At 39.0% G+C, this 25,051-nt stretch overlaps 1 protein-coding gene, 1 long non-coding RNA gene and 1 pseudogene across 12 annotated transcripts in view, besides 1 other annotated feature; all 3 read left to right on the forward strand.

The window, feature by feature from the left end:
* The window catches only part of LOC102724070 (NADH dehydrogenase [ubiquinone] 1 alpha subcomplex subunit 5-like), a 61,527-nt pseudogene extending 36,762 nt beyond the window's left edge, over positions 1–24,765 (forward strand).
* Positions 1–25,051, forward strand: part of CAST (calpastatin) — an 813,255-nt gene that overhangs the window by 508,607 nt on the left and 279,597 nt on the right. The gene's annotated exons all lie outside the window — the stretch shown is intronic.
* Positions 1–25,051, forward strand: part of LOC101929710 (uncharacterized) — a 669,085-nt gene that overhangs the window by 508,035 nt on the left and 135,999 nt on the right. The window lies entirely within an intron of this gene.
* Positions 13,877–14,077: a silencer, noted in NCBI's record as "peak5360 fragment used in MPRA reporter construct". NCBI's record gives its function as "represses an SCP1 promoter by STARR-seq MPRAs in K562 erythroleukemia cells {active_cell/tissue: K562}" and the evidence as "EXISTENCE:reporter gene assay evidence [ECO:0000049][PMID:32103011]".

Here is a 25,051-nt window from a genome sequence, read left to right on the forward strand (position 1 = left end):
GTTCTATTTCATTATATTTCAGACTTTTTTAGTGTGGTCCTCTTTGGCAGGACCCAAGATCCCGGGCTCAACTTTCCCACTCATTTTCTACTTCCCAGATGAAAAATTAACTAGGTGAAAACGAAAAAAACTATCCTTAATAAATAAATGCTCACACACACACACACACACACACGCACAGAAAACTCTGAGTTTTTAAATGGTAGAATGGATGACTAATATTGAAACCACAGTTATATGTCTTTTATATCGAAAAATATATAAAGGTTAGTCATTACAAAAATTATGGAATTATGGCCAACAATATTGCCAATGCACATATGGATCATCATGCACTATAGCAGTAACCAAACTACCACAATAAATAAACAGATAATGGTAAAGCTAAAATAATAATATGTTAGAATGGAGAGGAAACAAGACCAGCATCTGAAAATCACATATATTCTAAGACAACACTGGTGCTGTATCAATACCAGATTTCCGGTATTCAAATTATGAATATGCCTGAAACATTTCAGAGCACTGTGTGTCAACTGGTCTTCAAAGTAGAATACTGAATTTAATTAAGTCCTTGGTATGCTTAGTTAATGTGCTAATTTATTTTAGGAATGGCATATGTGAATAACTCTAATAGCTTACCCATTAATTTAGTCATAAATAGCCTTTGATTCTATGTAAAAGTAAAAATTTATAGATTTGCATATCTTTTACAGAGACTTACCTTTTGAGAGAGTTGTGAACTATATTAGTAGTCTGCTTAGGACCTCCAGCTTACCTTAAGAGTCACTGGTGTACAGGACCAAAAGGAAAGTACATAATAGTACATAATATTTTTAAGTACTATAGCTATAAATCTAATATACGCAGATGTTGCAAATTGTTGAGATTCAGTGCTCAGTGAAACTGATAAAAATGACCTTAGGGCCTCTTCTCACAAAATCACATTCCAGAGTTGAGAAGGGCTTTGAGGTCATGGAGATAGGACATTCCTTACAATAGTCCTGCAGCCAGATTAAACAGACTTGGAGATCTTTGTAATTGTGTAGATCACAATAGCTCCAAGCAATTTGACTGATAGTCACAAACCAGATTGAAGACAGGTCAAATTTGCACAGTTCTATAATTTCCAAACATTGAATCAATAGCTCCCAGACTCATATTCTTCAGATATCAGGTGACAGAGAATAAAATATTTACCAAAATGTTTACCAGAAAATTCACACTGAAGCCATACCTTACCATAAACCTAAGTGGCCCCACTGAGATTACCATAATACTCCTGGATTTCCTCAATCTTCAGCTAAAATTACATTCTCTCTCATCCTTTTACAATTGAATTGCAATTTAAAAAATTAATTTTGCTTGAACTAGCTAAAATATTCATGCAGGTGTGATCAGAGGAGTTTGCATAACATGAATTGAGATGCCTCGCATTTTTATGTAAAAACGACTGCTACACAAACTGAAGAATTTAGAGTTGTCACAGACACTGAAAACTTTATTAATCTGGAAAGCCGGTTTGCTGCACTACATTTGTTGCCAGTCCATTCCTGACTCCTACCAAATTTTAAAACTGGTTGAGATCAAAAGAATACTTTAAGTGACACACAGAAAATCATTCAAGATCTTGGTCTTATTTCAAACAAAAACAAGATCTCAATTATCCTGTCTTTTGCCTGTTTAATTACCTTTTAATTATTAAGAAGTTATTCTTTCAAATGGAGTCTGTGTGTGTGTGTGTGTGTGTGTGTGTGTGTGTGATTTGCATATGCGTATTGGACTGAATAAGCTTTTAAATTTAGCTTACATTTTTTTTCTACCATTTCTCAGAAGATCAGCTAAAGACACATTCAGGCTCATGCCAGCCTTTATCTGGACAACTATCCACAGCTATTATTTTAGAGTTATGTACATCTTCCAACTTCTAGCTTTTATTCTCTAATGCAAAATAAAATTATTTGCTTCACGGCTGTATACTCTGAATTTGCAACTCTGATTTAGGCAGAAGAATGTCCTTAACTCTACCTGGACTTCAGCAGTATTTGGTACAGCAATAATACACTCAGCCCAACTCCTCTAATTGGGGTCTACAACTCCTGTGCTTTTTCAATATCAAAAGTAGAAAGACCTTTCAGCAGAGGTGAGTGGAGCAAATTGTTTACATGAGCTCCAAAGATAAGATACACACAATTGTGGAACTGCCTGAAAATCTGATGCTATGACTAGATTTAATCTGGAAGGATGGCAAATACATGGTAAGATGCCTCAATTCCTCCCTCCCATGTTTATGGAAGACATCTATAATCCATCACACCATTCTTTCCAGTGTCAGCTCTTTGGGGGGCAAGTATTGATTGATTGGTTAACTGATTTTGCTCTTGTGTGTGTTGCTATATTCCCAGGACCTAGAATAGTACCTTGAATATCACATTGTAGGCACTCAATAAATAATTGTTGAATAAATGGAATAAATGACTCAAAAGTTGTTTCAGAATTCTTTGCAACACAACACTCTAGGCAAGCAAGATACAGTGTATTTTCCCTCCTTGGATAAGCCAGCCTCATTGTGAGGAGACAGAGCAAGAAGGCAGCCAATTGTTTCCTCACAAAGCAGGCTCAATATATTTTCTAGCTCTGATCTACCCCATGTAATGGCTTTAGGTCTGACTTGCTCTGAGGAAAATATTAATACTAAGGTTGGTACCTCTAATGTAAGAAGGTATGATACAATTCTAAACAATGTAGGCATGATCACTATTTTAGATTCCAAATCTAATTACCAAGTGGGTCTGACTTAGAACAATAGAAGTATATACTGTCCTGGTTCTTGAGGCTAGAAGTCTGATATCAAGTGTTGGCAGTATCATACTCCCTCTAGGAGAGAAGGCTTCCTTGCCTTTTTCAGTACATAGCAGCCCGAAGCATTCCTTGGCTTGTGGAAGCATAACTCCAATCTCTGCTCCCATAGCCACATGGCCTTCCCTGTATGGGTCTCTGTGTCCAGTTTCCCTCTCCTTTCTCTTGTACAGACACACTGGACTAGGGGCCACCCTAATTGAGTATTACTTTATCTTAACTTGATTACATCTGCAAAGACTCTATTTCCTAATAAGGTCACATTCAGAGGTACCAGGGGTTAGGATGGGAACATGTCTTTTTGGAGGACACCCACTCCAGTCACTGTCCTCATGGATCTTACAACTGAGGGTGACAATACAGATGAGTAAACAGGAAATTACAACTGAGTGATAACGTGTTTTCACAGGGGAAGTAAAAGATACTGTGAGAAAAATAAAAGGAGCTCCTAATCAGATTGCCTGAGGGGCTCAGAATTGCACTGGATGGCAGATAACAGAAATCTGACAATAAATTATATCACATTACATAACAAGAAATTGGAAGCAGGCAGTTTATGTCTGGTGCAACTGTTCCAGGAAGTCATTGAGAATCCAGGGTCCCCCTGATTTCTTTCTCCTCCAGTGTGGCTCTTGTTCTCATGGCCACAGAATGTCTGCCAACACCAGACATCACCTCTGCATTACAGATAAGAAGGAAAGGAATGGGGAAAGACACATGTGAATGGAGCCTGACTATATCGGGAAACCAATAGCATCCCATGGGCCACACCTGGTAGGCTTCTCCTTACAGGTCACTGGCCAGGACTGATTCTCATGGCCATTCAGTCTCTCCTGGTTTCCGAGAGACTTAGGAGGTGAGTACAACTGACTGGGCGCATGACTGGTCTGTACAAAATGGGAGTTCTGTTAGTAAAGCAGAAGGGAAGAGGGGATGTAGGTGGGTAACTAGCAGATTCTGCTACAGAAACTGTCCCAATGATGGTGATGCAAAAACTGAAACTCAGAGGAAGAGTCAGTGTCCTCCCAGTGCAGAGGGTTTTTCAGACAAAGGGCAGAGCATTTAGAGAGACTGAGAGGTAAGAAAGAGCCAGGTGAGAAAAGACTTCCAATATAGCTGAACTGCAGCTTGCTATTGGGAAGTTAGGCTGAGATGAAGCAGGGGAGGAAAGCGGGGGAAATCCTAAAAGACCCTGTAAGCCATGTGGATCAGTTAGGGCTTTAAGATGCAATTAGGAGCAAACTTTGGCCATTTTAAGCAGAAAATGAGAGTGTTAAAATGTTCTTGGGCAGCTCACAGAATTTTCTAGGACTGCCAGGAACGAGGTCCAAATTATGATGCAGAACTGAGACGATGAGGCTGCTGTTGCCACCACAGCTAAGCACTGACCCCGCTTGCACCACACACAGAACACCACTGCTACCAAAACCCTAGCCTCTGAGGGCCCAGGAACTTTCCTGCCCTAGAACTTCCGTGTCATCCACAGAAGCTTGTATCATCTCCATATTCAAAGTCTGAGCAACAGTGTCTAATGATGGGGGGTGGGGGTGAGGGGTGGGGCCTGTTGTGTGCCTAAATTCTAGCCACAAGGAAGTGTGAATATTTGGCATTTATTACTTCTGACATAAAATGTGGCTCTCCTTCTCATCAAGAAACTCCTCCAAACATGGGACGAGGCCTCAGATGCTGAGCAGCCAGTGGATGACAATGGGCAGGTTTATTCTGAGTGCAGTGGGGTGTCCAGGAAGAGCTCGGAAGGCCATGGAAACTTCCAGGCCCCCTGCTTGTCACATGAGTAACCAGCATTCTAGTAGGGGAGTAAACAGCCTTCTGGACAGATCCTTCTGGCTGCATGGTAAAAAACAGATTCATAGGAAGAAAGTGGAACAGCCAAGGTACTCTATGAGATACCGTCTTGGATATCTCGAGGGACTTATTCTCAGGGATTGCCTTTGAATAATGAGATGGTGTCAACATGGGGACCAGAAACTAAGTCTGGATTATGCCAGACTGCCTTATGGAAAGAGACAAATAACTATGCTATTTAGCCTTTCTGTGCTGATTAATATAATAAGAATAATAATACGTAAAACTGTGTTGTTTTGGTGAGAAGAAGGTAAAAGGAGGTAGGGCCTCTCCTGTTCTCTTGCCCTTTGGTTGGGGCTACTGGGCCAAAAGCAGCAGGCATGCCATACCTATGGCAAAGCACCTAGTCAGTCTCTCCTCATCCGTCCCTGCCCCCAGAGTGAGCCATGAGTGCAGCTGGCCAGTGGAGGTTCTGTCGGAGAGGCCCCTCATCCCAGTCTGGGGAAAAATGAAGAACCAAGACTGAGTGAGTAACTGCGGATACACCTGAGATCATGCCTTCCTGGCTTTGCTTCCCATGGTAGCATCTTCATCGAAAATGAATTAATAAGGAGTTATTACCATGGTACTTTTCTCCCTCAGCACCTGAGAAACTAAAGTCTCTAAATCCCACTAAGATTAAGCCCTAGCTCTGGTTTCAAAGAGACATAAATAATGACAATCTCTGAATGTTGTCCTTTCAGTCTTGCACCAAACGATGAGAAAGAAACCTGGGTATTGATGTTTTAGCAGCTTTCAAGCCCAGCAGCTTTTCCTGTGAAATAGTACAAGGACAGAAAATTGCAAAACAGGCCAGATGGGCCGAGTACCCTGGTGTTGTCAGGTAAAAGAGCCTCTGTGTAGAGGTTTGCAGCAGTATGGGGTTACCCTATTAAGCACACAGATTATTTTGGCGAAATCACTCAGTCCATGTGTAACAAGCAGGGGGTCTGGAAGTTTCCATGCCCTTCAGTGAAGGGATGTGAATTGGCAATGGTTTGGGGATGGAATAAGAGGCTGCTACAAAAGAGACTACAAAAGAGGGGACCTGTGGCTGGGACTTCAGATCCAAGAGTAGGTGGCAGCTCACCTTCTCAAATTGCAATAATGACTTGTTGCAGGTCACGGGTCACCCGTGCAGGCAAAGAGTAGACCAGCCATATCACAGAAGAGAGAAATGGGGAGCCAGAGGACAGTCAGTGGATCTAAGACTCCAGTTGCCCTGCTGTAGAAATGCAGATAGTTTCCCTTCATATACCAGGACTCCATTGCTTCATCTTGAGCAGGAAAAGAAAGCCATCCAAAAGCGGCCGTTGAGGCCCTTCTTCACTAGCTGTTGAACATTCAGAAACAAGGCAATTTAAACTAGAAGAAACTGAAAAGCTATTGACCAGCAAATCTTTTCCCTGCTAGCAGGGACCTCTTAAGTAAAATCAGTTCAGCCATCGAAAATAAAGAAGCTGTTGTTTTAGTGCACATTGGAGACTAGAGAAAGTAAACTTAATATACAGCTACATTTTCCATTAGAATTATTTTTATTGATTTTTTTCATATTTAAGACTTTATTTTTAGATTACACCAAATTCATTTTCTCCATTTTTATGCTTGTTTGCATGACTTTATTATTTTGTAACAACATTCATTCGAAAAAGTCTCATGGTCATATGATGCCAAGTTCACCTCTTATCTGCCCTCCCAGCAATATTTCTAAAGTGATACTAGGAATTATGAAAATATTTAGGCAGAACTGTGGGCAGGAATTCCTTAAAAAGCTGGAACAGAACAACATCACTCTTTGACTCGGCCTTTCTTGTTCTTTGCTTTTACACCCAAACACATGAAACGTTCTTAAATGTAAGCTGCAAGGAAAATTATAAGCACGTTTCAAATACACCCAGTTCCTTGGCTAGCCACTTCTCTATACTTAGCCTGAAAGAGTAGCCATATGCATATCCCTTAAGACAGTCCTCATGTTCTTAACAAAGTATCTTAACTTTCAATACACTGGAAGAGAATTATGAAATTTGAGACCTTTCTTTTCTCTCATCCTCCCAAACACACACATGTACACAAACACTCTTAAAACATCTCCCTGCACATGCACTTCACAGTCATCTCTACACGAGTTGACGGTTCTTGTCTTAGTACAGCAGGAAATACTTTCAACACCAGTCATGATGTGGATGGCAAAAAAAAAAAAAAAAATACAGCGCTATTATCAGAGCCCTTTTAATTAAGTCCAAAGATCTCAGCTAGACATCAATTTTCTGTTTCCTTCAGAGTTGTTGATCTATCTAGTAACTAACTGGTAGATCAATGTGCCAAAACACACACACACACACACACACACACACACACACACACACACACACAAATTATCACAGTCTTAGCAAATCCAAAAGATTACTTTTAATGTTTCATAAGGCAGAGATAGAGTCTGCTGATAACTTGCAGGGCTTCCTTGGTCTAGGTAGGATGCTTATTATACCAGTTTAATGAGATTTCATCAGGCGATATATAGAAAGATGCAAGGTAGAGAGAAATAGAGATATATGCACGCACGCGTGCACACACACACACACACACACAGCTGGGGCATTTCTGGTCTCTCATGTGTGTGTGTGTTGCCATCCAGTTTTTCTTTTATTTTCCTAACTGAGCCATCAACTTTGGTTAACTAGTGACTCTGTTAAGCTTTCTTACACAGTAGTTACTTCTAGGGCTAATTCAGCAACCACTTTCACAATTTGCTTTAACAAAACATTGTTATCAGCAATTACTCTTACCACAGTCACCATGGTATTTTGACCCATAGTGCTTCAACATTCAATAACGATGTCCAGTACTCCTAGGACATTATATTTGCTCTCAATGTGACTCCTGGGATATTTTAAGACATGTTAACACAAAAATCCACATGTCCTTTTTCTCTACTCATCATTATCCCATCATTTCTTTTGCAGGTGAGAATATTCATTTTCTCTCACCAATCTGACTTAATTATCCAGGTTGCAAGTGCCGTGTTGGAACTTATAATCAAGGGTTCTAAAAAGAGGATCAAGGGAATGAGAGAGGATCAGAGAGTAGGAGGGTAAACAGGCTTGTTGATTTTCCTCATCAAGCAAACCTTGGTAAGAAGACACCTTCAGATATAGAGACTGGGAGGTGATAACTAGGCCAGAGGCAGTGCCATTAAAAAACACATGCTACCCAGAGACACAAACCAAATGTTCAAATATCCATTTTCATGCCCCTGATTCACATGGCTAATTTAAGCATTTCCTTTTAAGCAGAGATATAAGTATATTTCTGGATAATTGATTACTTAAAATCCTTATATATCTTGCTCTTTTTTAGATAGATTAATATTGTCTAAAAGCTCGCAATTTTCACGATTTATTACAATTTGTTTTGTCAAAATCAAGCGTTAGTCCTTTCCTCATACCTTTAAATAAATGAGTATATTATCTATCCTAAGAAAGTCCCAATAGGGAGTGATAGTATCCGCAAGAAGTAAAAATATTTATTTCATTCTTACTGTGAAAAAACTTATAGGATTAAAAATAAGTGCATTTCATGCCTCATTTTAAATCACATTAAATTTGTGTGTCTGAAATAGTCCACCGACATTGTATGATGCACATTTGATGCAGAATGCATATTGACCAAACTATAGGATTCAGATGTAAAGTGAAAAATACCCAATTATTTGTTTCCAGCCTCCTTGTCACACTCCATTCTTGTTTTTCTGTGCTGTCACTTCTCTGGAAGGTCAACAGTCCTTACCATTGGTTAAGGTAAAGCCTTACACCCTTTCACTCTTTGCTCTTTCTGTTGGTTAATTATTTGGCTGTGGTTGCAGGTGGTGCTTAATATACCTATACACAGTCTTTAAGAAACCACATTAAATGGATTAACATAAAGTAGAAAGACCATTCTCTCTTGTTTCGAACATCTGAATTTCTTTACTGACTTTTACCTAATGAGAAGTATTTACCACATGCCCTGAGCATGACAGGTGACAATGATATGTAGGAAGGGTCTGCACCCTCCAGAAACCATAAAATGGGCACTGACATTGGAGCTCAAAGCTCAACTCGGCCACTGCATATCTATATAATTAAAAACTAGTCTTAGTCTCTTCACTATTACATAGGGAGCGCACTGGCCAGGTCACAGGATAACTGATAGACTCAATTGAACACATGAAGTGGTGCATAGGGTAGGAGGTGAGAAAAGAAATAAAGTGCTAATTGGGTGTAACTGGGGAGGAGAACAATCATAGTAATTAAAGCAGTAGAAAGTGAGCACTGAGGAGGAGCCACATAAAGTAGGAGAGCAGCTGGCAGAGCCCAAATCAGGTCTCCCAGTCATCCAGGAATAGAGGGCATTTGGAAGCCTACATGCTGACACCTGCTTAGTACAGGCTCTTCCCACGGCACTTGGACACTCATCTCTGTCAAGTCCACTGAAAGCTCAGAGTTCAATGTTGACACAAGAACTCATATCACTGGTAGCTGCTTCTGGATCTGATTATCTAATGTAATTAGTGGACAATCAACTTTTTGACACTAGCTCAACAGAGCTCCTTGAAAGTAGAAACATGCATAGTGAGGATGTTTGGAATAAAGTTGCTGTGAAGTTAGACTTTGAAATATACTCAATCATTCAAAAAATATCTAGTGAGTAACTACCATTGGCCAGGCACTCCTTATTTTTTTTTTTTTTTGAGATGGAGTCTTGCTATGTTGCCAGTCTGGAGTGCGGTGGCTCAATCTCAGCTCACTGCAACCTCTGCCTCCCAGGTTCAAGCGATTCTCCTGCCTCAACCTCCCCAGTAGCTGGGAGTATAGGCATGCACCACCATGCCCAGCTAATTTTTGTGTTTTGAGTAGGGACGGGGTTTCACCATGTTCACCAGGATTGTCTTTATCTCTTGGCCTCGCGATCTGCCCTCCTTGGCCTCCCAAAGTGCTGGGATTACAGGTGTGAGCCATGGCACCCGGCTGGCACTCTTAAAGAGTAGATAATGTCCCTTGCCTCCATGGGCCTTACAGTCTATGGAGTGAGGTGGGAATTGTAGTAAATTATAGGAAGAAAAATACAGCTGAGGCCTAAAGAAGAGTAATATTTTAACAGGCAAAGGAGGGTGGCAAGAGCACTCCAGGCAGCAGGAGCAGCACACGAAGATCCTCTAAGTTGAGGGAAAGCTGAGCCCTTTGGCAGATCTGTGGGGAGAGGGGATTCTGGGTTTATCAAGAAAAGAAGCTGGAAAATTAAGAAGAGACCAGAACAAGTAGGCAATTTTAAGTCATGTTACAGAATTTGCATTTAATCCTAAGAGCTTTGGAAAAACATTAACCATTTCGGTGGGGAAAATAAAATGATCAAATTTACAGTAAAGAAAGATGATTCTATCTGTAGGACGGAGCATAACTGTAGGGAAATAAGGCAGGTTGGAACAATTAGCATGCTATTGGGGAGGTTCAGGCAGGGAAATTTGGTGTTCAGGAATATGGTAGTAAAATGGGAACAGGAAGAGTAGAATTGAATACAGAAAATAAGTACAATGTAGAGGCATTCAGAGGAATAGTAGTAATCTGTTTTGAATTATTATGAATAAGGAACATAGGGTGTGTTTGGATGACTGGCTTGGGAAAGACAGGATGTACTCGATTCTAGACAGATTGATTTTATAGTCCCTGCCATATATTGAAGTAGATATGTCTTGTAGACCATTGTCTCAATGGGTCTGCTCCTTCCATGAATAGGCTAAACTGGAGATAGAGAAAGGAAAATTACTGACACTTAATAGAAACTGAGGTTATGGGGATGAATGACATCACCAGGGAAAGTGAGATATGGCCTAGAAATGAACTCTGAGCAAGAATTACATGTAAGAAACTAGCAGAGGACAAGAATTCCATCCAGAAGACAAAGAAAGAGTGGTTTAAAAGGTTGGAGGAAACCCAGATATTGTGGTACCATAGAAACGAAAAGAATAAAGTGCTTTAGGAAGAACAGGGTGGTCTATACTGTTAAGTTTTACAGAGAAGCAACCAGTGACCTTTTGAAGCAGTTTCAGTGAAATGGAACAGGCATAAGCCAAATTAGGGAGAGAATGGATTAGAGAGGATGGTGAGCAAATGGAGATAGCAGGAATAATTCAAGTATTTTGGACATAAAGGTGAAGAAAGAACTAGGGCAGTAGTTATGGAAGGGACAGGTTATAGAGCACAGATAGCCAACCAAAGAACAAGATTGTCACTGAAGCTAAAGTTATTGAAGCTAATGGATACATTTCACACTCTTCTCAGGAGACAGGCTTACAGCTAAATTGGCATGTGGAGAGAAAAGCTCTCAATCAAAGTTTTTTTTTTTTTTAAAGGAGCTCCTCATTAGAAGAAATAATCACTAACACTCACTCATCATAGCATTGTCCTGTGTCCACACAGTCTTGATGTCCATTTCTCATGTGTCACACTGCACAGCTGCTTCTGTCTTTGCATACTGACTGTGAATCTACTAAAAAAAACACCCCACAAATAACCATGTCACAGGTAGCTCTTGAGATAAGAGCCTTCTTTTAGATCCTTTAAACACAGTTTTGGTATTTTCTAGCATTTTAAATAAATATGTTGATATCTAATTTGTAACACAAGAAAGCTAATTTTAAAATTCATTATTGCCTACCCACTCTAAGAGACAATTTGAGCTGAATCATTGAAAAGCTGGATTGTTGCTTGCTTGTGGCCCAATAAGAAACAGATGTATCCTAAGTGAGAATGTATTCATTTACAAAGCAAGCCATGTTTCAGTCTAGTCATAGCCATAACACTTCAGGAACTATCTTTAACATGATCTCTCCCTGGGAGCAAAGCATCTTTTCTCATGAGAAAATCTGTATAAGACATTTGGTTTCAAAAGGGACTCAAACAACTTTCTCATCTGGAGAACACATGAAAAGGGAAATAAGTGGGAAAATGCTTTTGAAAACTTCCAATAAAGACATATATCTTCTTGTAGTCACAGAAAAGATTAAGTTGGTGGTGTTTAGTAACTAATGGCAAGACCCTATTGTTTAAAAAAGTTGCTTACTCATGCCTGCAGGGGAAGTAATAAAGTATTATACCAATAAAAAGTAATAATCACAATCACTGTGGATCTATAAAACATTATTAAATATCCCTTGACAACTTAAAAAAACTCTAAGTAATTATGAAGCCTCGTTTTAAATTAAAACCTGGCCTTGGTGCCCCACATCACTCTTACATGAGCATGGTAATGAAGGAGATTTATGATGCCTTGGTGTATATTGCTGCAGAGTTAGCTGGCTGGCCACCCTTATGATATAATCTCTTTTCTCTGCAATTTAATTAAAACAGTGAAAGATCTGACCTTTGCTGAAGATTTTCTTATCCATAGCACTAAAAATATCCCCTGGAAGCAATCTGTCAATATGATCTTTCAAACACAATCCTGCTCATACTGGGGAAGAAGAAAAAGACAATGAGAAATACCAGCATCCAAAAGGTTAGCACAGGTTAGTACATGGTTAGTTGCCATGAAACTGAAGTCAGAAGGCTGCCTATAAAAAGGGTAAAAAATGAATTTAAGCCACCTAATTATGTGAAGCAATGAATGAAAATTCCCCATCTAGTATCCAGCTTATAATAAGGATACAATAATGAAAATTGTCTCTTATTCCTCCAGGTCTCTTAGAGGAATTATCCTGATGTCTATTATGCTTTGTATGGCGCTTATAGGCATTAGTGCCTTGATATATAGATACCCATGGGAGTCTTACCTGTTCTCATAACCCCCAGAATTCTATGCATTCTGTAGTAAAATATTTTGCAATGAAGAAAAAAACTCCTCTTTATTGATGATAACAGATCACTACCAACTCTGATCTGGTGATTGTCATGTTCCTGTCTGGTCATAGGATAACTGTCATTTATCTTCATGGCTGTGGTGAGAGAGGAAAGTTCCTCCTTTTCACTGTGTGAACGTGGCCTTCCATTCTGAACTACAATCTGATGGATGAAGAATTGAAGTGCTAGAGAGAAGTAGAGTATAACCCAAGGAAAAATGGAGCCCATGACGGGGAAAAAATCCTGTTAAACATTCACTAGGAAATGGTTAAAGGTCCAAATTTGAGGTCAGACAGACATGGGTTCAATTCCTTCACCATCCTAGTCACTATTCCTTGGAAAATACATCAATCACTTCTGAGCTCTTGGCTCAGCCTACAAAATAATAGTGTTACTTATTTTGTAAACATGTCAAGATAATAAGTTTTCTATATTATACATTTTATCATTTCATGTTTAATAACAAGTAGAAGAAAATATCAATGGTCAGCAAAAGAAAAAACAACACTAAAGAAAATATGGGCCAAGCTAGTAAGTCATAAATTTCCATTGAAATGTAAATGTAAGTTAGAGTCTATGAACCTCAGGTGTGGGCAAAGGCTATGAGAAACTGTGTTGTATTAATCCTTTTATCTAGAGATGATAGTCAAAATCTTTAACAACCAGTATGGAACAAACATCAACAAATAAGAACGGGTGCTGACCATAGACAAGTAAAATAGCTGTGCCCATGTATACTGGATGTGTATCGGTCATGCACTTTTCCATGCCTAACACTGCACTTTGTACCTAGTAAGTTCTCAATTAATATCTACTAGAGTAAATTCACACTGTATTAACCTGGCCATCTCACAAAAGTGAGGTTAATTCAAAAAACACTAAATTAATAATGATTTAGATTTATCATTAATAATAATGATTAATAAGGATTTATCAAAGAATTATTCTGACTTTTTATTTCCAGGAAAGTTTTTCACTTTTCATGGATGAGCTTCATTGTAAGTTGTCTGGCTTCAATCTGATCTTTCATTGTTTTTTCTTTTAATGAAATAACAATTTGGATACTTTACATGATAGGCTTTTTGTTGATTGATTATTAAAATCAATTTGTATCTTGACTCATTCTAAAAGAATATAAAATAGCTCTATCTTGATTTATAGTTTATGAAGAATTTTATTGGGATTCTTGTGACAACCCTTCAAAAATAAGAGGACAAGCTCAGAGAAGTTAAATGATTTTCCAAAATCAACTAGTGAAGTGCTGAGTCAAGACTCACACCCTAATCCTATGTTTCAAGTTCAGTGTTCTGTTCCCTCTACACCACGCAGCCTCTTGACCGCCTATGTGAACTTCCCATGAGGCCTTATTTGGGGCAGATTCAAGCCTTACTAGCAATTAACTATCCTTAGTGCTGTGTCTACCTTCTTGTACTCCAAACTTCAGAACCTAGGACAGCACCTGCATAGCCACCTGTTTAATAAGTCTGTAGCTGTCATTGTGAGCATGATTTTGAGGACTCCTGCCAGCCTTTTTACATGACCACAACTCTCTGGTTCTGATGAGGAGATTGAATTTCTCTAAGCCTACTCCTCTCTTATACCCAAGGTTGCCATTACCAATGGCTGTGCCTGCCATTATGACTAAGTTTCCCCAACACACTCCAGTTGTCACTCTTACGCACACTTTTAGCATAGCTAATGATTTCATATGACTAGATTAGAGTTGTTGGAAAAGTAAAAGCCAACACAATTTTAATTGTGATTAAACACTATACTTTGCCCTTCTACATCTGTTTTTAAATCAAGTACAAACTTTAATAATACACTCAGCAGAGGCATCTGGAAGATGTGTTGATCCTAGCTGGCAGCAGACACCAGATGGGTTAGTCAATCTGGAACAGATGGTAAATTGATATTAATTAATTATAAGCCTGGACTTTTCCACCATTCATGATTCTCAGTTTCTATGAATATTCACTATTTTTGGTTAATCTCGGTTTACTAAATTCCCCTTTCTAACCTATGTGATTGTAAGAGAAAAAGAGGAGAAATTTTCTCTCTCACTAGAGAATATCTTGAGCTCTTGAAACACTCTGCAGTTGAAAAATGAACTCCAACGAGCTCATAACATCATGGTAGAGCTGGGGGGCCATCATTAGCATGATCACAGACCTAGGATTTTTCTATTCCTGCTCTGCCAATTAATGCTACTCTCTTCCCACAATTCTCCTCCCCTACTCTGTACTGTCAATAAAAGTACCTGTGAGAACTCTATGCAAAGAACAACAACCAAGTAAGTGTAAAGTTCACTCCCATCAATAGCTACACACATATCCACTATTCAAATGTAGAGCTCTCTGGAAGGCAAAGATTGAAGTAAACAATTGAGAATTAAGTTCTGAGCAGAACTTCTACCACTTCTTATATTGTAATCTTGGGGTAAATGCATGGAGTAAGAAAATTGAGAGAAGGAAGGAGTGAGCTTTCAGGTTCTGTGGAGCAGCTTCTGATTCATGTTGAGAGAAATGGTCAAAATGTCACAGAGGATAGGCCATGGCCCCACTAAGTCTCATGGATTGAAAAGTGAGTGTGGATTAGGGAGTGCTGTCTTACCTGAAGGAACAATACGAACACTCACAAGTCAATGTTGCCCAAGTTGACCAGTCAGATCATCAACTCCTCTTCTTTGAAGTGTGGAAAGAAAGATGGTAAGTCCTCACATGAAGTGATGTTCAGAGTTCTAGAAAGTTATTACCATCTTTAAAATTCTTATTCAACTCCCTGATGCCTAAGATTCTGCTAACATAATCAGCTTGCAATTTTATTTTAAATATTTTTGGTTAAAATTAAAAAGTAAAGCTAAAAGTAAAAAATCATAGAGCCGATTTGGTGGTCTAAAGAAGAGAGTAACAAGGCAGTGGGTACCAAAAGTGGAAGAAAGGATAGAAGGGAGAGAAGAGACACCCAAATATGAATAGTTCGAACCTGGGACCATTAACGAAAAACATGTTTTGCCTCAGGCTGGCCTTAGAAGTCAGAGAAGATATGGCAGAATCTTCTTGGTAATAGTCATATCAGCTGTTTAATTTATTTGTTGCCTACCCAAAGTGTACTTGTTCTGGGGAGGAAGGGAGAGAGCTCAGAGAATATATAATTCTTCAGCTTCACCCCAGTCAAAAGTTTTTCTTTCTGTATTGAAAATAGACCACTCAGGACTCATGGAAGCATCCTTATTTGTGAACCATTCACCTTACAATTACTGGGGGTGTACAAAGACACACTACAACTAAAAGTTAAGGTTTTCTTTTGATCTCTTAGATTTTGTTGTATTTTTCCCTTTAATTGTACCTAGAGACAACTACAGAAATTAGATTGGTGGTCCCTGAGACCACAGCGGAGTGCCTCTGGACTTCCAGAGAGGTCCAAAAAAAATACAATTTGCCTTTACTAAGTTAAACAACAAAATTAATACAGAGTAGATCAGGACAGCTATATAAAAACCCACCCTAATAATAGACAATGTGTTCAAAGGTAGGAGAGAGATAATGAAAAACACTACTGTGTCTAGTCAGCAGTGAGCAAGGTGTGGGGATGTGCACTAGAGCACCAAAGAGAATTTAGGATACTAGTATGGCAACGTACAGCCCCAGAAGCATGGTCCCAGGAAGGGAGGAGTAATCTTTCCCAATGCAGGAGTAACCTCATGCTTCTGAGGAAAAGGTAGCCAAGTCTGAATTCCCAGATCTAGAAACAGTTGTCATCTGCCATTGGAAACTCCTGAGCACACACTCCAGACAGAGACACACCATTTTACTAGGTAGAGTTTTGGCCTCAAATCCATGTGTCATTGTCTACCTTAATGAGCAGAAACAACCAAACCCTGCATGAGCCTAGATCAGAGTTTTTAAAATTGTTATCCTTAGAACACTAAGGTTTCATATAGTTATCTCATGGGGGACTGCCAAGGAAGTTGAGCAGACAGAGCGTCTCCCTCCAGCTGTCTCCTACCCTCCACTGCATCAGCATTTCTACCAAAGCACTTCACTCTTGTCTGAAGATTACACTGGAGTTCTATGTAGGATCTTTTGTGTTGGGGGGGCAGATTCTGCCAGTAAAAAATGTACCAGGATGCACTTACATTGATAACACAGGCCCTTAGAGCCTGCTCCTTGATTCTTCTCCATGTACTCTATCCTGATCCCCAGGTAGCCTCCTGTGAGACGTCCCTGGTTATCATATCATATCTATGACATGGACCTCTAAGAGATTATCTAAAGAAAGAGAAGCACAAGGCCAAATAATCTAAGAAAAAAAGCCAATCAAAAATTGTGCATGCTATGTAAAAGGAAAAGGTTTTATAATTTCTTGACTCTTTCCAACTGAGGCCCACTTGTGGACCTTAACTGGGAGTAGACTCCTTCCCCCCATGGGGCAGTGAAGAGTATGTGAGGGCGCTTTTGGTTGTTGTAAAGATTGGAGAGCATCACTGTAATCTGTAGTAGGGGTCAGAAAAGAAAAACATCCTGTAATATGTGGGGCAGTTCTGCACCACATATTACAGGTTGTGGTTGGACCTCCCCACCCACCACCAGAATGTCCATACCATATGTGTTTAAAAATACAACAGAGCCACGGCCTATTCTGCAACATAGTAAAATAATGGGTAATATTTCCAAGACTCTCCCTTGAGGCTAGACAATGCAGATATGTGTATTTTATATGAATGAGTACATCATACTATCATAGCATAATAACATTTAACATACAATAAAATCACTATTTCGGAATCCCATACTTTCTGATCTTCTGATGCCTTTTCCATTTCCCACATCAGTTATAGTTTCATCATAAATTAATACATAAGCCATCTGATGTTTAGACATTGGTCTCTCATGAGCTTGGGTTAAAGTGAGTTGGTCCATGAGACAAATCTATTCTCAGACACTAACTGAATCAGGCATTAATGCCTATGGAACAAGACTCCTAGACCAAGGATAAGGATAACTCAAGTTTAAACAACTTCAGAGGGCTTTGGATAGCCACTGGCCTCTCCTTGTGACATTTCTCCAGTTAATTTGAACCTTCTTTAAGCCATAATTTAAATATTCCTCTTGAAGAAAGTACTTAGATAAGGGCAGATCCAAAATTTTATTCTGGAGTGTGACTTCTGAAAGCATGTGAATGAAACTCAATTTCTATTCTGTCATTGCTGTAAATCAGGGTGGCATCACGAAAGGGCACCAAACACATAATGTTAAGCAGAGGACTGGGGTATATGCCATTATACATTAGGAACAAAATGCAGACATTTTTATGTAAGATTTTTCTCCAGCATTCCACTAACCGTTAATAACCTCCTCCCATTGCTTTTATGTAACTTTACTCATGGGAATTTTATACAATGTGACTAACTCATAAAATTTTAATAGAATTGGACATATGGCTAAAAATATCATCTGTTACTGTAATTATTAAGCAACTTTATGCTTCAGAACAGAATCAAGTGAGGTTGGGAAAAACAAGTCCTTAGAGAAAAGTTACTTGCTTGCTAATTCAGTGTGTATGGACAGAGTTGTCCTTAACTCAATAGTCTAACACAGGTTTGAAGTAAGCATAAGAGACTTAGAGAATTGTAGTCCCTTTTCCTGGGGATTTAGTGTTCTGTGACAAATAGAACTCACATATTTCTTCCTGCATGATAAAAAGTCACCACCAGCATTTAATGATATCCAGAATTTTTAAAAAGAAACAGCTAAAAAAAAACCCTAAGTATTTGCAAAATATACATTGATGAACCTCCTCTTCCCTTATTTTACTATTTGTTTCATCTTATATTTTCAATGTCAAAAAATGCAAAACTTCAAAATAGTGACAGCTTAATAATAACTGCCATTTCTTTAATGCTTAACAAGGCACATTGCCAAATACTTTACATATTGTCGTGTAGCTAGTGAGATGTAACTTTTTTCAGTCTTGAGAAGCTTCCAGATAGTTGTGTCTGAATGGAGGCAGCAGATCCCTTAGAGTAGATCTTCAGTGGAGAGGACTCCGTTTCCTTTCTTGGATTTTTGAAGGTATGCAAATGCACCACGAGTAAGTGGTAATCATTGTCTTTGAGGAAGGATGTAACAGAATCTTCTACAACCGAACAAAGTCTTCTCTTCCCAATGTCCTGGCATTAAGAAAAGTTTAGTAAATTTACTCAGAAAATTAAAAATGCTCATTTGGGGAGAAATAAGAACAAGATCCAAACTCTCTCTTTTTGAGGCTCAACTCTACTAAAATTTCAATGATAAATGAAAATGGCACAAACCAAGATATTTATGTAGGAAATGATACCAAGGACCACAAAGGGCAACTTGGCTTTAAGGAAGAGGGCATAGAATGGAGACCTGGATTTGACACCAGATCTGACCACTTTTGTGCAAACTTGACTTCAGAAGAACTTGTTACTAGTAATTGGATTCAGAAAGCTCCTGGAAAACCCCTTCAGTTTACACAGCACATGCTCAGCCATCCAGCTCTTTGGACAGACTAAGGAAAAGAGAGGATTGAAGAGGATAATTACAAACTCTTGTCTTGTTTTTTGACGTGTAGATTTAGGTTCCAATAGACTCATCACCACAATTATTTCTGTTCTGCTTTTTAAGCCAAATTGAGGCAGATCAAAGGATGCCTGAAGAGTAACTTGGGCTGGCATCTTCTTCCATCAGTAAAGAAATTCATAATGGCAGCAGGGCTGCATTTACAAATGAGCTGATTGAGTAATGCACAACCACAGAGAGTGATGTCCTCATTGATTATGAAGGGAATAGCTCTCCTGGTTGATAATCGTGTATAATTCTCTACATTTTCAAAATTGTATGTATTATATATATGCATACACAGACTTACATATGCTACACAAATCCATAATCAGGAGAGGGTAGAGGACCCAGGGACACTCAATATGAGCACATATGAATCCTGGCTCATATTGGATGTAAAAGTTATGTAGGACTCAATTTGCATGCTTCTCTTCTCCTTCCTGTCTTTCCCAGCATGACCCCCTCCCCAAGACTATCAAAAACCACAGCTGTCTAGGGGATGTAGCTCTTCCTGTTTGCTGAGAGGCTATAAAGATACTACTTAGACAATAGGCTCCAACAACCCCGTGAAGATGCCCTGCTCTCTCTACACAGCTGGGCTATGAGACGGCATTCCTGTCACATAGATACAGAGGCCATTAAACTGACTGTGGGTTATTAGTACCACTTAGTCTAAGAACAATTAATTTGAGGCTGTGAATAAGAAAGGAGCTATGTTTTTGAGATGGACTTCATCCTCTAGAAGTCACTTCTATGTAATTTTAAATAGTAATGAAGAGGATAATGCAGCTGTAGACTGGACTTTGTAAGAAATGACATCTGGACATATGTGCTTTCTGGGTGCTTTACACTTCTACAAAGCAGAATTCTAGCTTCACAAAGCCAACCACTGGCAAGGGCCATATAAGTATGATCAACAATTGTCAACACTCCCCTGCTTCTCTCTGTTCTTGGAACAAAGTTCAAAATACCTAACATCCTCTTTTGTGCCCTGCCTTATCTAGGCCCACTTACCTTTCCAGCCTCCTCTGCCTGCAGTTGCCCACCTGCCATACACAAAGAACCCAACTGGCCCCTAACCAAGTGATCCAAATACTCAATACAATCCCAATACAAATTTCAGCAGAGGGGTGTTGTGTGTATATGTGTGTGTCTGTGTGTGTGTGTGTGTGTGTGTGTGTATGTAAACAGACAAATTGATATAGTAATCCAAAATGCATGTGAAATGCAAAGGACTAAGTATAGCAAGTCATAGTCAGTCTAGAAGAAGAACTGCAAAATTGGAAGAGGAGTTCTATCCACTGCCAAGGCAAATTATAAAGCTAGAGCAACAGTGTAGTATTGGCATAATCATATACAAATAGGCTAATGGAATAGAATAGGGAGTCCAGAAGCAGACCCACATATATAAGAATACAAATGACAAAAATCATATAGCAGAGAAGTGGGGATTTGTCATCACAACAAATTATGTTAAATTAATTGCATACCTATATAGGAAAAACATAAATCTGAACCTCCTACCTGATACTACTAAAAAAATCAACTCCAGATAAATTGTAGATCTAAATATGAAGTGCAAAACAATAAAACTTTCAGAAGAAAACATGAGAGATTATTTTGGAATAAATGAAAGTTTATTAAATAGGATACAAAAGGTACCAGAAATTTTAAAAATAAAAATGAAAAAGTTGTATTTATCTAAAAAACAAAACAAAAAACCAGTGGCCATGAAAAGGTAAGTCATTCAGTGGGAAATGGTATTTGCAACACAAATGTCTGACAAATGGCTCATATTTTTCAAGAATATATAACTCTTATAATCAATAAGGAAAAGACACACAAACCAACAGAAAAAAATAGGCAAAAGAGCAAAAGAGGCACTTTACAAAAGAGAATATCGAAACATGAAAGTATTCAACCTCATTAGCCAGAAATTGCAAATTAAAAGTACATGTGATATATCTGTACACTCACCAGAGTGACATAAATTAAAAAGACCAGGCCGGGCACGGTGGCTCAAGCCTGTAATCCCAGCACTTTGGGAGGCCGAGGCGGGTGGATCACGAGGTCAGGAGATCGAGACCATCCTGGCTAACACGGTGAAACCCCATCTCTACTAAAAAATACAAAAAAAAAACTTAGCCGGGTGTGGTGGCGGGCGCCTGTAGTCCCAGCTACTCGGGAGGCTGAAGCAGGAGAATGGCGTGAACCCGGGAGGCGGAGCTTGCAGTGAGCCGAGATCACGCCACTGCACTCCAGCCTGGGGGACAGAGCGAGACTCCATCTCAAAAAAAAAAAAAAAAAAAAAAAAAAAAAAAAAAATTAAAAAGACCAACAATACCATATCCTGATGAGGTTATGTACCGCATGTGGCAATGTAAATAGAAATGACCATGTTAGAAAACTGACGGTATTTATTTAAGTTGATTATATTCCTGTGACACAGTAATTCCATCCCTAGATATATGCCCAACAGGAATGTAAATAGGAATATGTGCATAGGAATAGTCATAGTAGCAGCATTTGTAATAACCCCAAATTAAAAACAATCCCAATGTCTATCAACAGTAGAATGATAAATAAATTGTGCTGTATCCCTACAATGGTGCACTATATGCAATGAAGATGAACTAAAACTACAATGAATCTCTCAAACATAATTGGCGAGAAAGTTGCCAGATGCAACCTTGTACATAGTATACGATTCAATCACTTATATGAAGTTCTAAAACAGGCAAAACTAATGTATTGGGACAGAGCCAGTATAACATTCATCTCCAGAGGAGCTAATAACTAGAAGAAGGCACAGGGGGACTCTGGGATGCTGGTAATATTCTGTTTCTTGACCTAGGAGTTAGTCACAGAGATACACGTAGTTAATAAAGGATCCTTGAGCTATACATTTTATTTGTGTATTTGTCTTTATGTATGCATGCATGCATGCTTAAATAAAATAATTCACCTTTTAAAAAAGCATTTTGTAGGAATCTTCAAGGCTGCCACTTACCCTCGTTTGAGGGAGGCTTTGATTCCCTTAAAGTTTGACCAGTTGAAGTTGCAGGGAAGTCCTATTTAGAAGATAAAAAATTAAGAGATCCGTGGAAAGTGACAATTGCTTAAGTTGGGTCTTGAGTATATTTCATTACTTTCTATTGTCTCAATATATTAGTCTCTCTAGTTTTGTATGTTTTACATTTTCTATAATAAAAGCATTTTTTTTCCTGAAACTCTATGGAAGTTTTGCATCCAACTCATATCAGCTACTGGGGTCTATTTCTATTCTATTTAGTATGTTAGCCCCCTAAGAAAACATTGTCATCAAAGCTTTTCGCTTACATAGGAAAGCTCTCCTCCTAGTTATTTGAATCTTTGGAAGTTATTTCTTGTGTATTCTGGTTTCTTTTTCTTCTTCTTAAAAATAAATATGATCGGGATTTCCTCTTGATCAAGACACCTACCAGCCAATTACCTTTCTTCCCACCCTCCTGTCATCACATAATGAATGACCAAATGACAAAAATAAACTCCAATGGAGAACACACATGGAAGTAGATAAAACTAAAAAATATGAGCTGAGAAGAGGAGACATCTATGTCTGGCTAAAGAGAGGCCCCATGCCAGATTAACTGAAAAGGAAATGATTAATTACAGCAATGTAGCAATAGAGATGCCCCAAGCGTTTCAGTGAAATCAAATGACGCAGGTTAGAGTCCAAAATAACAGGACGATTGACTTGGGAGTGGTGAAAACACTTTTAAAAATGTTTATGTCACATAAAAATGGCCCCGTTTTTACAAAAACAAACAAAAAAATACTTTAAAAGGTCAATACAGTAAAGCTACAGATAAAAGCTACAGATAATTTTATTTTCTATACACCAAATGTTCTTCCTAAATTGGAGGATAGAAACAGTGCTTTATAAGTCACTGATTTATTTTTTTAAACCATGGAAAAAGTGGTTACCATTCAGGAAGTCACAGATTCCTACATGTAAAAATATCTAACTCTGATCTATTTTTATTTTGGAATTACCATTTTTATATTCGTTTCATAACATTTTTTATGCCATTTTCACTTCTCTTTAAGGTTGAACTTTTGTTCATTTTTTTCTCCTCTTCACCCTAGATAAAGTGCTTTGCCCTCCCAGGTAAGGAATAGAGTGAAGAGTCCCTTTGTCCTGCAATCTAGTCCTACCGCCATCTTGCCTCTTCACAGAGAGAGAATAAGGAAAAGTGGCTCAGCTTTTTCACTAATTAAATTGCAACTCCCCAGTTGGAAGTTGGGCAGGCTGCAAAAATAAACTCCACTGTAGCTCAGTCCCTTGGAAATTCTAAACCAGTATGTATCCCCACCAACCCAAGCATCATGCTGGGTGTACTGTGAGACTCCAGGCTTGAATCTCAGCAGGAAGGAGGTTTAATGGTGTTACACAGGAAGTAGTTTAGAGTCCATGTTTCTTTGCAATGAAGAAATTCATTGAAATTAACCAAGAAAAGCATCAAAATATAAAACATGCCTGCTCTTTCTCTTCAGCAGTGCCTAAACTTATTTTAGGCCAGGAACGGTGTCTCATGCCTGTAATCCCAGCACTTTGGGAGGACAAGGTGGATCACCTGAGGTCAGGAGTTCGAGACCAGGCTGGCCAATATGGCAAAACCTTGTCTCTACTAAAAAAACAAAAATTAGTCACTCACGGTGGTGCACACCTGTAATCACAGTTACTTGGGAGGCTGAGGCAGGAGAATCGCTTGAACCTGGGAGGCAGAGGCTGCAGTGAGCAAGATCATGCCCCTGCACTCCAGCCTGGGCAGCAGAACAAGACTCCGTCTCAAAATAACTAACTAACTAACTAAATAAATAAATAAACTTATTCTAATCCCTCATTGAATGGAGGTAAAGGACAGAGAAGAGTTGGGGATAGCCCAACAAAAGCAATTCCAAGCAAACAGAGGCTGAACCATTCCCCAGATAACAAGAAAAGAACCTCAAGTTTCTCAGAGGCGATGAACTACCTTGTAGCAATGCAATATAAAAGTAATGGTAACTTGTGGTGGGTAGCTTTCAGTATGTATGAAGGACCCCTCCTTATCCATAACTTTAAAAGAGCCAGAATTTAAAATAAGAGTTATCACTTAAGCTGAGGTTGAGATTTATTTTTTCCTGTAAATGATAGTAAAAGTTTTGATATAAAGACATGGTGGCAAGGAGAGCATGGAATAGCAAGAACAGAATCAGACACTGAGGAACACCATTGGCTTTATGAAAGAGCCTACATGAGAGGCTAAGAATATTGTACACAAAGACTCTTGATATTCTTTAGCAAATCCCTAAAAATGAAGCATATAAAAAGCATACAGAACAGATTACAAATGATAAGCTGGCTATGGCTGAAGTGGAACCAGATGTTAAAGAACTAGAAGACCAACTTCAAGGTGGCCCAATAGAAGAGCGATTCTTCAGGCTGCAAATGAACTAAGTCTGGCAAGAAAAATAATGCAGTGGAAATTATGGGAACCATTAGTATAAGAGTTCCCACCAATCAGTGGGAATGACCAATACAATCATTAAATGATTTTAGCAGGTGGATGGGAAACTGATGTAACTAAATATTCTGTTATATTAAAAGTGCGTTGGCCGGGCGCAGTAGCTCACGCCTGTAATCCCAGCACTTTGGGAGGGCAAGGCGGGCGGATCACGAGGTCAGGAGCTCGAGACCATCCTGGCTAACACAGTGAAACCCCGTCTCTACTAAAAATACAAAAAAATTAGCCAGGTGTGTTGGTGGGCGCCTGTAGTCTCAGCTACTCGGGAAGCTGAGGCAGTAAAATCGCTTGAACCCGGGAGGCGGAGGTTGTACTGAGCCGAGATCGGAGATCGCACCAT

The sequence above is a fragment of the Homo sapiens genome, chromosome 5 (genome assembly GCF_000001405.40).
Source record: "Homo sapiens chromosome 5, GRCh38.p14 Primary Assembly".
NCBI lineage: Eukaryota > Metazoa > Chordata > Mammalia > Primates > Hominidae > Homo > Homo sapiens.